General features: G+C 45.4%; 1 annotated feature.

Moving 5' to 3' along the window:
- Positions 4304-4463: an enhancer, noted in NCBI's record as "active region_17289". NCBI's record gives its function as "activates an Ori minimal core promoter by ATAC-STARR-seq in GM12878 lymphoblastoid cells {active_cell/tissue: GM12878}" and the evidence as "EXISTENCE:reporter gene assay evidence [ECO:0000049][PMID:35858748]".

The following is a 15885-nucleotide window of genomic DNA, read 5'->3' on the forward strand; positions in this document are numbered from 1 at the left end:
GCAAGAGCCAGATTTCTCACCATCAGGAAAATGGCTAAAAATAAGGAAAGGGGATGGATGCAGTGGCTCATGCCTGTAATCCCAGCCCTTTGAGAAGCTGTGGCAGAAGAACTGCTTGAGGTCAGGAGTCCAAGACCAGCTAGGGCAACATAGCAAGACCCCTATCGCTACAAAAAAGATAAAACATAAAAAATTTAGCCAGGTGTGGTGGTGCACACCTGTAGTCCCAGCTACTTGGGAGGCTGAGGCAGAGGATCACTTGAGCCCAGGAATTCAAGGCCACAGTGAGCTATGATCGCACCACTGCAGTCCAGCCTGAACAACATAGTGAGACCATGTCTCTAAAAAATTAATAAGAAGAGTAGGCTAGAATGAACATTATGGTGTTGGACTGGCATTGGAGACATCACTGTGAACTCCTGGTTTTTAAAATACATACAGATATAGAAAGAGCTTTAGAGATGCACATGTGTGGACATGTATTTCCTAACTCTATCCACTGGAAGGGCCTAAAAGTACTAACACCCAATACCACTGAACTCACCCAACACCCAGATCTTGTTTTTTTTGTTGTTGTTGTTGTTTGGTTTGGTTTGGTTTTGTTTGAGATGGAATTTCGCTCTTTCACCCAGGCTGGAGTGAAGTGGCCCAATCTCGGCTCACTGCAACCTCCACCCCCTGGGTTCAAACAATTCTCTTGACTCAGGCTCCTGAGTAGCTGGGATTACAGGTGCCCACCACCACGCCCAGCTAATTTTTGTATTTTTAGTAGAGACAGGGTTTCGCCATGTTGGCCAGGCTGGTCTCAAACTCCTGACCTCAGGTGATACACCTGCCTCGGCCTATCAAAGTACTGGGATTACAGGCATGAGCCACTGTGCCTGGCCAGATCTTGGTTTTGAATGCTGTTCTCAATAAAAGGCACCAAGACTCTGGAAGAAACGAATATTTCCAGGGCTATGGCAAGGAAAGTACAAGCTGAGCTTTCAACATCTTGTGGAGCCAAAAGGCAAAGCCTCTGACAAGCTGTGGGGAAAGTCATCAGAGGAACATCAGCATGGAGTGGACAGTAGAGGGAGGGGACAGCCTGCGAAGCCTTCAGAGAGGAGGGAAATGAGAAGAAGGAGACTTCAAGGGCGAGGAAAGGGTGGCGGTGTCAGATGTTGCCGAGATTAAGATCAGATCTAAAAACCATCTTTCTAGAAGCCTTTGCTGCAGATGTCCCTGGTGTCCTTGAGAAAAGAGTTTTGATGGGGGGCTGAGGAGACGTAACAGGTGTCACAGGTGCACAGAGGAGTTGTAGATGAAGAACAGCAGTCAGGGAATTGGGGGACTATTCCAAGACCTTTGGCTGTGAACAGAAGGAGAGGGCAGGATTGGAAGGGGGCACACGCTTAGGGAGAGGCTTGGTTCTGGATTCTCTTGAGAACATGGCAGCCTCAACAGGAGCCAAGGGCAGTAGAGACAGGCTAGCTGCTCAGCCAACCCATTCCCTCTTCTTCCTGATGTGTAGCTGCAGCACCTGCCCAGCCTCCTTGGGACTAGAGGTGTGGCACAGGACCATGAGTGGTGAAAACATATCTAGGCCTGGCCTGCACCAAGTGCTCCCACTGGATCCTCCTTGTTCTCTCCTATCTACTTGCTGAATGAAGATCTTTCCAATGACCCAGAACAGGACAGAGGAACAAAACAGAGGAAGCCTGGGTCCCCAGATGACCACACAGAAGGCCACCTGCCCAGGAATACCCCACTCTGAATGTAGCATGAGTGAGAAACAAACACTTAACTGTGTTGCACTGCTAAGAACTGGGGTCCATCCACTATAGCAGGTAGAGTTAACCTAATAAACTGGTTAAGGACATTCTTGTACCTCCATGCAATGGAGCACTACAGCTATAAAAACAAAGGGAGCAGCTGTTCATTACAGATATGAAATGATCTCCAAAATACTTTCAACGACAAAAAGGCAAGGTATAGGAAAATGTGTTATAGCTTGTTGCTATGTGTCAAAAATCGGTAGGAAGCCAGGCGTGGTGGCTCACGCCTGTAATCCCAGCATTTTGGGAGGCTGGGCCAGGCGGATCACGAGGTCAGGAGATCGAGACCATCCTGGCTAACATGGTGAAACCCCGTCTCTACTAAAAATACAAAAAATTAGCCGGGCGTGGTGGCACGCACCTGTAGCCCCAGCTACTTGGGAGGCTGAGGGAGGACACTTGCTTGAACCCGGGAGGCGGAGGTTGCAGCAAGCGGAGATTGCACCACTGCACTCCAACCTGGGTGACAGAGCAAGACTCTGTCTCAAAACAAAACAAAACAAAATCGGTAGGAAAAGAATACATAATTCCTTGTCTTGAACAGTGGAAGACAAGAAGAAGCCAATAATATTGGCTCCTTCTATACAAAGGAGCTGGGTAGCTAGAGGATGAGTGGGAGACTTCCACTTGTACCTATTGAATTTTGAGTAGTGTCAATTTTATACATTTTTTAAAATAGACATGTAAAGGGAGTGTGCCAGAGATGTGGGCATATTGTTACAAAAGCCAGTAGAAACAAAATTTCTAAAAAGACAGAGAGAAAGCAGACAGCGGATAGAGGGAAGTCCTTGAGCCCTTGAAGGCAGGGGATGGAGAGTGGAGCGTAGGGAGAGGGAGCTGCCACGGCTGGGAGGAAGGCCACTGAGGACAGGAGGTAGGATGCTGGAGACGTCAGAGCAGGCAAGCATGTAGGGTGAGTATGCGGGAGCAGGAAGGTGGTGGGGAGATTTCTCTCAAATGGCTTTTATCAGGAGATGAAGTTACCTAATAAAAATGAGATGGTGGCTCTGACTCCAGGGAAGAACAGGAGGACAAAGGAAATAAAAGCTTGTAGGGGAGCACTGCTGGCCCAGATGAGACTGGAGCCACAAGCTTAGAATGAAACCAACCAGCCCGAGGTAGGATTTCTGCTAGCACCCCAAAATAGGGGAGGAGCATGGGACATGTATTAATTGACTCAGGATAGAAATTTCTATGGAGCAGGTGACAGAGGGGCTGGGAAGACCAGAGATTTAGGGATATTGGCAAGAGTGGTAAGTTGGTCCATGTGGGACAGGATGCATCCGAAAGGAGATTTTGAAGGGGACTGACAGACTTGGGAGAAAGAGAAATCAGAGAGCTGGAGATGTTATTGAGGGGAAAAGAACCTAAGAATAGTGCAAGCAACTGAGAGTGAGGAGTCCCATTCACATTTTCACGGGTGAAGGAACGCTTACAGACTTTTTTTTTTCTTGAGAGAGTTTCGCTCTTGTTGCCCAGGCTGGAGTGCAATGGCACGATCTCAGCTCACCACAACCTCCACCTCCCAGATTCAAGTGATTCTCTTACCTCAGCCTCCCGAGTAGCTGGGATTGCAGGCATGCGCCACCATGCCCGGCTAATTTTGTGTTTTTAGTAAAGATGGGGTTTCTGCATGTTGGCCAGGCTGGTCTCGAACTCCTGACCTCAGGTAATCCACCCGCCTTGGCCTCCCAAAGTGCTGGGATTATAGGCATGAGCTACCACGCTAGGCCCCACCTATGGACTTCTTAAGGCAGGTAAACACCTGGGACCTGAATATCCAGGACCAGCTGGGAGGCTGAGGTCCCAGAAGTAGGGATGGAAAGAAGCCCATGAGCCAGGGGTCTAGGCTCTTTAACAAATACCAGATAGGTGTAGGGACCAGCCCCACAGGGTCGGTGGGTTTTTCTCCCCATGTGCGGAGATGAGAAATTGTAGAAATAAAGACACTAGAAAAAGAGATAAAAGACAGGTGGGCCCGGGGGACCACTACCACCAAGACACGGAGACCAGTGGTGGCCCCGAATGCCAGGCTGCACTGACATTTATTGGATACAAGACAAAGGGGCAGGGTAAGGAGTGTGAGCCATCTCCAATGATAGGTAAGGTCATATGGGTCACGTGTCCACTGGACAGGGGGCCCTTCCCTGCCTGGCAGCCAAGGCAGAGAGAGAGAGGAAAGAGACAGCTTACACCATTATTTCTGCATATCAGAGACTTTTAGTACTTTCACTAATTTGCTACTGCTATCTAAAAGGCAGTCAGGTGTACAGGATGGAACATGAAGGCGGACTAGGAGCGTGACCACTGAAGCACAGCATCACAGGGAGACAGACGGTTAGGCCTCCGGATAACTGTAGGCGGGCCTGAAGAGGTGGAGTAGAGTCTTCTCTAAACTCCCCCGGGGAACGGGAGACCACCCCCCCCCCACACTTTCCCAGTCGGCTAAGTAGCGGGTGTTTTTCCTTGACACTGATGCTACCACTAGACCACGGTCCACTTGGCATCCGGCGTCTTCCCAGACACTGGCGTTACCGCTAGACCAAGGAGCCCTCTGGTGGCCCTGTCCGGGCATAACAGAAGGCTCGCACTCTTGTCTTTTGGTCACTTCTCACTATGTCCCCTCAGCTCCTATCTCTGTAAGGCCTGGTTTTTCCTAGGTTATGATTGCAGAGCAAGGATTATTATAATATTGGAATAAAGAGTCATTGCTACAAACTAATGATTAATGATATTCATATATAATCATATCTATGATCTATAGCTAGTATAACTATTCTTATTTTATATATTTTGTAATACTGCAACAGCTCATGCCCTCGGTCTCTTGCCTCAGCACCTGTGTGGCTTGCTGCCCACAGATAGGGAGCCAGGTGCAGTGGCTCATGCCTGTAATCCTATCGCTTTGTGAGGCCAAGGCAGGAGGATCACTTGAGCCCAGGAGTTCGAGACCAGCCTGGCAACATAGCAAGACCCCATTTCTACAAAAATTTTAAAAAACTAGCTATGGAGGCACATACTTGTGGTTCCAGCTCCTTGGGAGGCTGAGGTGGGAAGACAGCTTGAACCTGTAAGGTCGAGGCTGCAGTGAGCTGTGACTGCACCATTGAACTCCAGCCTGGGCAAGAGTGAGATCCTGTCTAAAAACAAAAACAAAAACAAAAAACAACAACAAAAAAGCCAGATAGGGTTCTAGATGACCACAGCTGAGTGGGGAAGGGTAAGGCCAGATGGCATGAGCCTCCGAGGAGCCAGGAGTCAGACGCGTAAGAGTGCAGCTGTGAGACTGACTGCTTCCACTCCTACAGGGGAACGCAGCTGAAAGCAGAGCTTGGGCCTGTGCCTCGCTCACCCAGAGCCAAAAGGCTCAACCATAATGACCTGACGTTCAGAGGCCCCTTGCCTAGCCAGTCTCCCCATCCTTAACCCCAACATTGATCTCCATGCCTGGGCCCTCTTCCCACTGCCCTGCCTTGTCATCGGCTGCACTGTCATCCTCAAAGTCACTCTGTACCTTTAGTCACTCATCCTTTCCGAAATGGTCCCCAAGTTTCCTCTGCAGAAGAGCCTGGCCCTGCCCTGCCATCTCACTCATCCTCCAGAGGCCTGCTGTGAGCGCCCACTTGGTCCTCACCACCGCACTGTCACCCACATTTATAGTCAAGTCTCTCTTATTAAAGAAGGGAATCTGAATCTGGGTTTGCCGTCTAAGTTGGCTTTCTCAGAGGCTACCAGAGCCCCAAGACCTCACCACCCTGCCCTAAAGCCACTCCGTCTTAATCTCTTTGCTCTGCTGTGGCTGTTGGAGCTCAGCTTCACACTCATTAGCAGTCCCAAGACCTCTGCACTGAGGCTGTCCTGAGGATCTCCAGAGGTGAGATCTGCCTTTCCTTCCTGGAATAGGCAGGGTTTTTTTCCAGCCTTCTATGAGCCTGGCAGAAAGGAAGAGGGACCCTACATTGAGAAATCAACTCAGCCATGCTCACATGTTGCTGAGAGAACTCACCAGCTAGCAAAGCCCATCAGTGCGCTCCTGAGGAATCAAATAAACACAACCTGAGCCTTAAGACTGAGAGCTGTTTAGGGCTTACTGTTGAGTGGGGGAGGGAGGGCAGAGAGCAGGATACACTATGGTCCATCCATAATGTGTTCAACCACATAAAATCGCACAATGAAAACTGAAAGGCCAGGCATGGTGGCTCACGCCTGTAATCCCAGCACTTTGAGTGGCCGAGGCAGGCGGATTACCTGAGGTCAGGAGTTCGAGACCAGCCTAGCCAACATGGAGAAACCCTGTCTCTATTAAAAATACAAAATTATCCAGGCGTGGTGGCAGGTGCCTGTACTCCCAGCTACTCGGGAGGCTGACACAGGAGAATCGCTTGAACCCAGGAGGCGGAGGTTGTGGTGAACCAAGATCGTGCCATTGCACTCTAGCCTGGCAACAAGAGCAAAAGTCCATCTCAAAAAAAAAAAAAAAGAAAGAAAATTGAAGGAAAGCATGCCCAAATATTTACAGGACTTACCTCTGCTGAGATTACAAGTATTTTCCCAAAATTTTTCTTTTTTTTTTTTTTTTGAGACAGAGTCTTGCTCTGTCACCAGGCTGGAGTGCAGTGGCGCAATCTCCACTCATTGCAACCTCCACCTCCCGGGTTCAAGCGATTCTCCTGCCTCAGTCTCCCAAGTAGCGGGGAGTACAGGCGCCTGCCACCACGCCCAGCTAATTTTTTGTATTTTTAGTAGAGACGGGGTTTCACTGTGTTAGCCAGGATGGTCACGATCTCTTGACCTCATGATCCACCCGCCTCGGCCTCCCAAAGTGCTGGGATTACAGGTGTGAGCCACCGTGCCTGGCCCAAATTTCTTTATAATATCCAAATATTCTACAATAAGTATATATTACTTTTATAATTAATTTTTTTTTGAGACAGAGTTTTGCTCTTGTCACCCAGGCTGGAGTGCAATGGTGTGATCTCAGCTCACTGCAACTTCTGCCCCCTGGGTTCAAGAGATTCTCCTGCCTCAGCCTCCTGAGTAGCTGGGACTACAGGTGCCTGCCACCACGCCCAGCTGATTTTCGTATTTTTAGTAGAGACCGGATTTCACCATGTTGGCCAGGCTGGTCTCAAACTCCTGACCTCAGGTGATCTGCCTGTCTCGGCCTCCCAAAGTGCTGGGATTACAGGTGTGAGCCACCACGCCTGGCTAGACTAATTTTTTAAGATATGGCTTCTACAGTAGTGAGTAGACATCTCGCTATGTCAGTGGAAAAACACTGTTTGAGTCACAGACCTAAGACTCTGCTGGCAGCTACAGGCCTTCTCCCTGGAAAAATGCTCATCTGCTCTTTCACACATCGACACCCCATTGTGCACTCCCCTGGGTGCCCCAATGCCAAAGGAACAAGCATCCCTGCCTGTAAGAGGCAGAATGTTTCTGGGCCAGCCACACTAACTGTAAGCTGACCAACAATGTTGGAACTTCGAAAGAAGTGTGTAAATCCAAATGGAAGCACCACAAAAAAGTCCAATGGCTCTGACACCCAGCCTGTACAGGGAAGGAGGTTAGTTACCCTGGCCTGAACCCCAAGATGACTGTGGCAGGTCTGTCGTGCTTAGGGATAGGGTCGCACAAGGTGTCCAAACATTCAGTTCATCCACCTGACTCCTTTGTTCACATCCCAGGCTCACAAGTGCCTTTAAGAAAAATGTGGCTTCTTTTAGGGCAGAGGTTTATAAACTTGAAAAAAGGCCAGAAAGGTGAGGTGTAAAAAACCACCAAAAGTATAATCCAACTTTATTTTATATGGTATAAGATTTAACAAACATATATAATGCCAGAGATTGTACTCTAAACTTCATATTGAAAAAATATAATTTGAAAATAGAAATAATTATCCCAAGTTTCGTAATTTATTACTTCTCAGATTTGAAATCCGAAATCTAACATTCCTTTCTTAGGGCCCAAGATATCAATCAGCATCAGGTTGTGAATCTTGCATAGCAACGTGCAGCAGAGAATTCACCTTTCCTTTAACTGGGAGCAATATTTAGTTTTACTTAGTTTCATAAGAGAAAATAGCTGCTCATAAACATAGGTATTTCCAAACATGCACAGAATCTTTGCACAATGTTTTTTATATTTAGGGTAACCACTACCTAGGAATTTGTAGAATTCTGGGATTCGCACATCATCATATTTAGTTTTCAGTATAGTGTTGCACTGCAATTCAATAACTTCCATTTGCAGCTCTGCATTCACATGATTAATATTCATCAAGAAAGGTGAACTGAACAATATCAGTTCATTTTCATAAAGTTTGCAATCAGATAATCTTTTTTGGAATTCAGTCTTCAATTCTTTAATTTTTGGAATATAGTTCAGGCCATCGCTTTCATTTTCAGAAACTAATTTCAGTGTAGGGAAGTGGGCCAGATTGTTCCTTGTCAAATGAGTTTCCCAAAGACACAATTTTGCTAGGAATTAGTGAATTGAATCATACATTTGTGTAACCACTTGTGAATGTCTTTGCAGAGAAATATCCAATGTATTTAGATGTGTTGTAATGTTAATCAAAAAGGCTAAGTCTTTGACCCAATTTTTGCTAGTGAGCTGAGGCACAGATTTTCCTTTAGAGGACATGAAAAAGTCAATTTCTTCCAACAGTTCAAAAAACTACTTTAGCACCATACCACGACTCAGCCACTTCACTTCCATGTCACAGAACAGGCTTCCATATTGTGCATCTAACTCACTGAACAAAGTGTTGAACTTTCTGTGGTTTGAGCCATGGGAATGTATCCAGGTTATGCTGTAAATTACTATGTCCATGACGTGATCCATTTTTAACTTTTTAGCACAAAGTGATTCCTGGAGAATGAGGCCATGCACACACTTAAGTTCTGTGCCTTTGCAAAGCCCTGCCACCTTAGATTTAGTTTTGTAACAAGTTGTTTAACACCAACCATTGCAGAATTACCATCTGTGCTAACACTTACTAATTTTGACCAGTCTACATTAAATTTTTTAAGACTTTTCTCAACACATAAAAATATGTCATTTCCTGATGCTGTGCCTGTTATGGGTACCATATCTAAAAGTTCTTCGGTCACATCAAAAGTTTCATCAACACCACGAATGAACACAGCCAACTGGGGAGCATTATTTATATCAGTGTTCCCATGAGCTGCGATAGAGAAAGCCACAAATGATTTCACTTTTTCTTGAAACCTGTCCTGTAAGTTTTCAGCCATATCATCAACATGCTGAGCAATAATGTTACCAGTTAGTCTTATATTTGCAAATGCTTGTCTCTGTTCAGGGCACATAATTTCTGCTGCATTCAACAAGCATTCTTTTATAAACTCCCCATCTGTAAAAGGTTTTGATGCCCGGGCAATTTTCTCACTTAATATATAACTACACTCCATAGCAGCATCACCTATTTTATTCACATTCAAAAGCAAGTCATGTTGAAATCTCAGTCTTTTTTTCAGTTTGTTAAGTTTTTTGTCACGCATCTTTTCTGTATATCCATCGTGGTTCTTGCTATGGTTTGTTTCATAATAGTGTCTTAGGGTATGCTCTTTCAACACAGACAGACTTTGCATATTCAACATGTAGGAACATTCTTTACTTCCACAAAAAAAAATAGGCTCTCTCCCATTTTTCTTGAAAAGTGTGGATGTCTTGTTCTATACTTTGTCTTTCCACTTGTGGAAGAGACAAATGCATAAGAAATATTAAAATGTCATCCTTTTTTTTTTTTTTCCCCAAGACAGAGTTTCGCTCTGTCGCCCGGGCTGGAGTGCAGTGGTGCGATCTTGGCTCACTGCAACCTCCACCTCCCGAGTTCAAGGAATTCTCCTGCCTCAGCCTCCTGAGTAGCTGGGATTACAGGTATGTGCCATCATACCCGGCTAATTTTTGTTAGAGACGGGGTTTCACCATGCCGGCCAGGCTGGTTTCGAACTCCTGACCTCATCATCTGCCCTCCTCAGCCTCCCAGTGTTGGGATTACAGGCATGAGCCACCATGCCCAGCCATGTCATCTTTACTATAAAAAAAAGGGCTATTTTCTAAGAAAAAAGTACTAACTCTATGTTTAAAAGTGCAAGTGTTGTGCTGTTCCCACCGCTGTTGGTGGGGAGACCCTCAGGAACTGTGGGGGTTACCAGCAAACAAGAGCAAAGGCCACACCTAAAAGGAAGCAGCTACTTCTCATCGCCAGCCAACTGCTGCCATGTGGGAATGCAGCCACGGTGCCACCATGGCTGCATTTTCTTTCCTTTTTCTTTGAGACAGACAGGGTCTCACTCTGTCCCCTCGGCTGGAGTGCAGTGGCACCATCATGGCTCACTGTAGCCTCGACCTCCCAGGCTCAGGCAATCCTCCTACCTCAGTCTCCTGAGTTAGCTAGGACTACAGGTATGCAACACCACGCCCAGCTAATTTTTTTTTTTTTTTTTTTTTTTTTACAGATGGGGTCTCTCCATGTTGCCCCGCTGGTCTTGAACTCCAGGGCTCAAGCGATCCACCCACCTCAGCCTCCCAAAGTGCTGGGATTACAAGTGTGAACCACTGCACCTGGGCAGATTTTCTGTTGTATCAAAAGAAGCTGGAAATCCAGGGGTTTATGTGAAATTTTTTGAAATACTCATAACAAATTCAATGGTCTCTTACAGAATAAGCCAACATGTTTGCCAATCAGATAAGGCAAATTAGGGACACTGGTTTGGGGTCACTTGTTTAAACCTGCAAAAACACTACTTGAAGAAAATTAATATCTGAAGAGAATTAAATATCTAATTCTGAAACCACAGATATAAGAGCTTGTTCAAACAAAATCCTAGAGGGTGCCCAAAAAAGAAAAAATAAACTGATGGGTTTCCTTTTTTTTGTTTTGAGACAAGAGGTCTGGCTCTGTTACCCAGGCTGGAGTGCAGTGGTGTGATCTCGGCCAGGTGTGGTGGCGGGCACCTGTAATCCCAGCTACTCGGGAAGCTGAGGCAGGAGAATCGCTTGAACCTGGGAGGCAGAGGTTGCAGTGAGCCGAGACTGTGCCACTGCACTCCAGCCTGGGCGACAGAGAGAGACTCCCTCTAAAAAAATAAATAAATAAAAATAAAATAAAATAAAATAAAAAATAAAGTGCTGAGTGGCCTTCCCATCTGTAGTCTGGCTACTCGGGAGGCTGAGGTAGGAGGATCACCTGAGCCCAGGAAATCGAGACTGCCGCGAGCCATGATTGTGCCACTGCGCTCCTGCCTGGGCGAAGGGAGTGAGACCCTGTCTCAAAATAATAATAAAAAAATAAAGTGCCGAGTGCCCCTAACCTCATACCAGAGGATCCCTTGGGATCCACCTGTGACAACCCTGGTAAATCTCAATCCTCAGAGCTCTGGGACCCCTCACCTCTCCAGGTGCTGTTCTTTCTATCTCTAGTTTCTTGGCCCTGGCTTTTCTCTCCAATATGGTCGAGAACTACGGCAAGCCCATCAATCTCTGTTCCCTGCTTTTCTTCCAAGGCTCTCTCTGTCTCAGCTTGTGACTTGAATTCAATATATGCAATCCTGCAATTGTGGGGATGAGGTGAGGGAGAGAAGAACAGTCAGCATTTAGGGCCACAGACAGTTATTTGTCTTCTGAATCAGTAATATACAAGATTCAAAATCCAAAAAGTAGAAAAGGATATGGTTTAGAACATGTAGAAAAAGGAAAAAAAAAAAGGATATGGTGTAGTCTTCCTTATATTCCTATTCCAGGCCACCCAATTTCTAACCACAGAGGGAACATTCTGTGTATATAAAAGCAAATGTATATGCACACACAATTTTTCTTAAAAAGCTTGAGATATAATTTACATATCATAAAATCCACCCATTTAAACTTTACAACGGTTTCTAATACGTTTACACAACTGTACAATCATCATTGTAAACTAACTTTGGAACATTTGTATTGTCCCCGAAAGTACCCATCGGCAGTCACTCCTCATTCCTCCCAACCCATTCTCACTCCAAGCCACAAGCAACTACTGCTCTAGTTTCTGTTTATATAGATTTGGCTATACTGGACATGTCATATACAGAATGACATACCATACTTTATCAATCCATCAACTGACAGACATTTTGGGTCATTTCTACTTTTTGACTATTAAATAATGCTGACATGAACATTTGCAGGAGAGTGTGAACATATGTTTTCTTTTCTTTGAGGTAGATACTTAAGAGAATTTCTAGACCATATGGCAATTCTATGTTTAACATTTTGAGAAACTATCAAACTTCTCCAAAGCAACTGCATTATTTTACATTCCCACCAGCAACATATGAGGGCTCCACCTTTTCCACATCCTTGTCAACATTTGTTACGGTTTGCCTTCTTTATTCTAGCCATTCTAATGAATGTGAAGTGTATCACATCATGGTTTTGATTTGCATTTCCCTAACAACTAATGTTGAGCATCTTTTTGCATGCTTATCAGCCATTCATATGCCTCGTTTGGAGAAACGTCCATTCAAATCCTTTGCCCATTTTTTAATTGGGTTGCCTTTTTATTGTTGAATTGTAATATGAGTTCTTTATATATCTGGACACAAGTCCCTTATCAGATATATGATTTGCAAATATTTTCTTCCAGTCTATAGATTTTTTTTTTTCTTTTTTTTTGAGACGGAGTTTCACTTGTTGCCCAGGCTGGAGTGCAATGGCACAATCTCGGCTCACTGCAATCTCCACCTCCCAGGTTCAAGCGATTCTCCTGCCTCAGTCTCCCAAGTAGCTGGGATTACAGGCGCTCACCGCCGCGCCTGGCTAATTTTGTATTTTTAGTAGAGACGGGGTTTTGCCATGTTGGCCAGGCTGGTCTCTAACTCCTGACCTCGGGTGATCCACCCACTTTGGCCTCCCAAAGTGCTGGGATTACAGGCGTGAGCCACTGTGCCCGGCAAGTCTATAGATTTTCTTTTTCTTTTTTTTTTTTTTTTGAGGAGTCTCGCTCTATCGCCCAGGCTGGAGTGCAGTGGCACTATCTCGGCTCACTGCAAGCTCCGCCTCCCAGGTTCACGCCATTCTCCTGCCTCAGCCTTCCGAGTAGCTGGGACTACAGGCGCCCACCACCTTGCCCGGCTAACTTTTTTTGTATTTTTAGTAGAGACGGGGTTTCACCATCTTAGCCATGATGGTCTCGATCTCCTGACCTCGTGATCCGCCCGCCTCGGCCTCCCAAAGTGCTGGGATTACAGGCGTGAGCCACCACGCCCGGCCCAGTCTACAGATTTTCTTTTGACTTTTTAAATATGGCCTTTGAAACACAAACATTTTTTATTTTGATTAAGCCCAACTTCTCAATTTTCTTTAATCGTCGTGCACAAAGTGTGTTTTCTTCTAAGGATTTTATGTTTTAGCTCTTACATTTAGGTCTTTGATCCATGTTATTTTTTGTGTACAGTGTGTTCTCCATTATGTTTTTACATAAAAGGCAGAATACTGTACACACTGTCTTTTTTCACTTAATATACACTTTGTCTTTTTTCACTTAATAATGTATACTGGAGATTATTTCCCTTCAGTACACAAAATGCGATTTCAGTCCTTTTTACAGCTATATAGAAAAATATCTTATGGATCTGCCAGACAATTTTAACCACCTGTTGCTTGATATTCAGGTTAATTCTAATTTTGCATCAAACAACTTTGCAATACATTATTTCACACTTGTCTGAGACTATCTGTAGGATAAATTCTTAGGAGTGGAACTGCAAGATAAAATGGTAACTGCAACCGTAACTTTGGTAGCTATGGCTAAGTACCTAATCTCCATAGAGATTTCTCCAATTTCACTTCCAATAACAAACTATGAGCATGCCAGTTTCTTTACTCTCTTCTCCACTGTGCTAACAAACCTTTCGATCTGTGACTACTTGATAGGTAAAAAGTTGTATCTCAGTGTAGATTTTATTTTAAATTGTTTTACTATGAGTGAGGATGAGTATCTTTTCCTATGCTTAAAACTCCGTTCCTGTCTGTCTGTAGCCTGCCTGTATTTCCCCTAAATTGTTGGTATTTTTCTTACTCATTTGTTAGGTGCACTTTTATTTTATTTATTTATTTATTTTTGAGACGGAGTCTTGCTCTGTTGCCCAGGCTGGAGTGCAATGGCGCGATCTCGGCTCACTGCAACCTCCGCCTCCCAGGTTCAAGCGATTCTCCTGCCTCAGCTTCCCGAGTAGCTGGGATTACAGGTGCCCGCCACCACGCCTGGCTAATTTTTTCTGTTTTTAGTAGAGACAGGTTTCACCATGCTGGCCAGGCTGGTCTGGAACTCCTGACCTTAGGTGATCTGCCCACCTTGGCCTCCCAAAGTGCTTGGATTACAGGCGTGAGCCACCACACCTGGCCTTCAGAAGGTTTCATCGTGGGGACATGCTTTATTTTTATTTATTATTATTTTTTAAGATGGAGTTTCACTCTTGTTGCTCAGGTTGGAGTGCAATGGTGCAATCTCGGCTCACTAACCTCCGCCTCCCGGGTTCAAGTGATTCTCGTGCCTCAGCCTCCCAAGTAGCTGGGACTACAGGTGCCTGCCACCATGCCTGGCTAATTTTTTGTATTTTTAGTAGAGACAGGGTTTTACCATGTTGACCAGGCTGGTCTCGAACTCCTGACCTCAGGTGATCCACCTGCCTCAGCCTCCCAAAGTGCTGGGATTACAGGCGTGAGCCACCATGCCTGGCCTGGTGCACTTTTTTTTGAGAGGCAGTCTTGCTTTGTCGCCCAGGCTGGAGTGCAGTGGCGCGATCTCGGCTCACTACAACCTCTGCCTCCCGGGATCAAGCGATTCTTCTGCCTCAGCCTCCTGAGTAGCTGGGATTACAGGCGCATACCACCATGCCTGGCTAATTTTTTCTATTTTTAGTAGAGACGGGGTTTCACCATGTTAGCCAGGATGGTCTCAAACTCCCGACTTCAGGTGATCCGCCTGCCTCGGCCTCCCAAAGCGCTGGGATTACAGGCGTGAGCCACTGCACCTGGCCTCTGGTGCACTTTTATATCAGTAAAACCAGTCTTCAGTTTTGATGAGTTACCAATATTTTTCCCTGGTGTGTCACTTGTCTTTTGACTTTGCTTATGGGGATTTTTTTTTCCTCCATGTAAAAATATATTTCTGCAGTCAAATTTATATATCTTTTTTTTTTTTCTTTGAGACAGAGTTTCCCTCGCTCTTGTCACCCAGGCTGTTGTGCAATGGCATGATCTCAGCACACTGCAACCTCCACCTCCTGGGTTCAAGCGATTCTCCTGCCTCAGCCTCCCGAGTAGCTGGGATTACAGGCGCCCACCATCATGCTCAGCTAATTTTTTTGTATTTTTAGTAGAGACAGGGTTTCACCATGTTGGCCAGGCTGGTGTGGAACTCCTAACCTCAGGTGATCCACCCGCCTCGGCCTCCCAAAGTGCTGGAATTACAGGTGTGAGTCATTGTGCCTAGCCAAATTTATATAACTTTTCTTTTGGGACTTCCAGGATTGTGTCATACTTCAAAAGGCCTTCCTCTCCTGAAGATTATTAAAACAAATAAAACCCAAAAATATTCTCTATGTCTTCCTCTAATACTTTATGGTTTCATATTTTACATGAAATCTCTAATGAACCTGTAATTTAATTTGGTGAAAGGTATGAATAAGGACATATCGAGTCAGATTCTTTCTTCTTGAGACAGAGTTTTGCTCATTGCCCAGGCTGGAGTGAAGTGGCACGATCTCTGCTCGCTGCAACCTCTACCTCCTGGCTTGAAATGATTCTCCTGTCTCAGCCTCCTGAGTAGCTGGGATTACAGGTGTGTACCACCATGACTGGCTAATCTTCTGTATTTTTAATAGAGACGGAGTTTTACCACGTTGGCCAGGCTGGTCTCAAACTTCTGAGCTCAGGTGATCCCCCCGCCTCGGCCTCCCAAAGTGCTGGGATTATAGGCATGAGCCACCGTGCCTGGTCTGAGTCAGATTCTTAAACATAATGCACCACATTCTGTTGTTGTTTTTGTTTTGTTTTGTTTTTG

This window comes from Homo sapiens, chromosome 2, assembly GCF_000001405.40.
Source record: "Homo sapiens chromosome 2, GRCh38.p14 Primary Assembly".
Classification (NCBI taxonomy): Eukaryota; Metazoa; Chordata; class Mammalia; order Primates; family Hominidae; genus Homo; species Homo sapiens.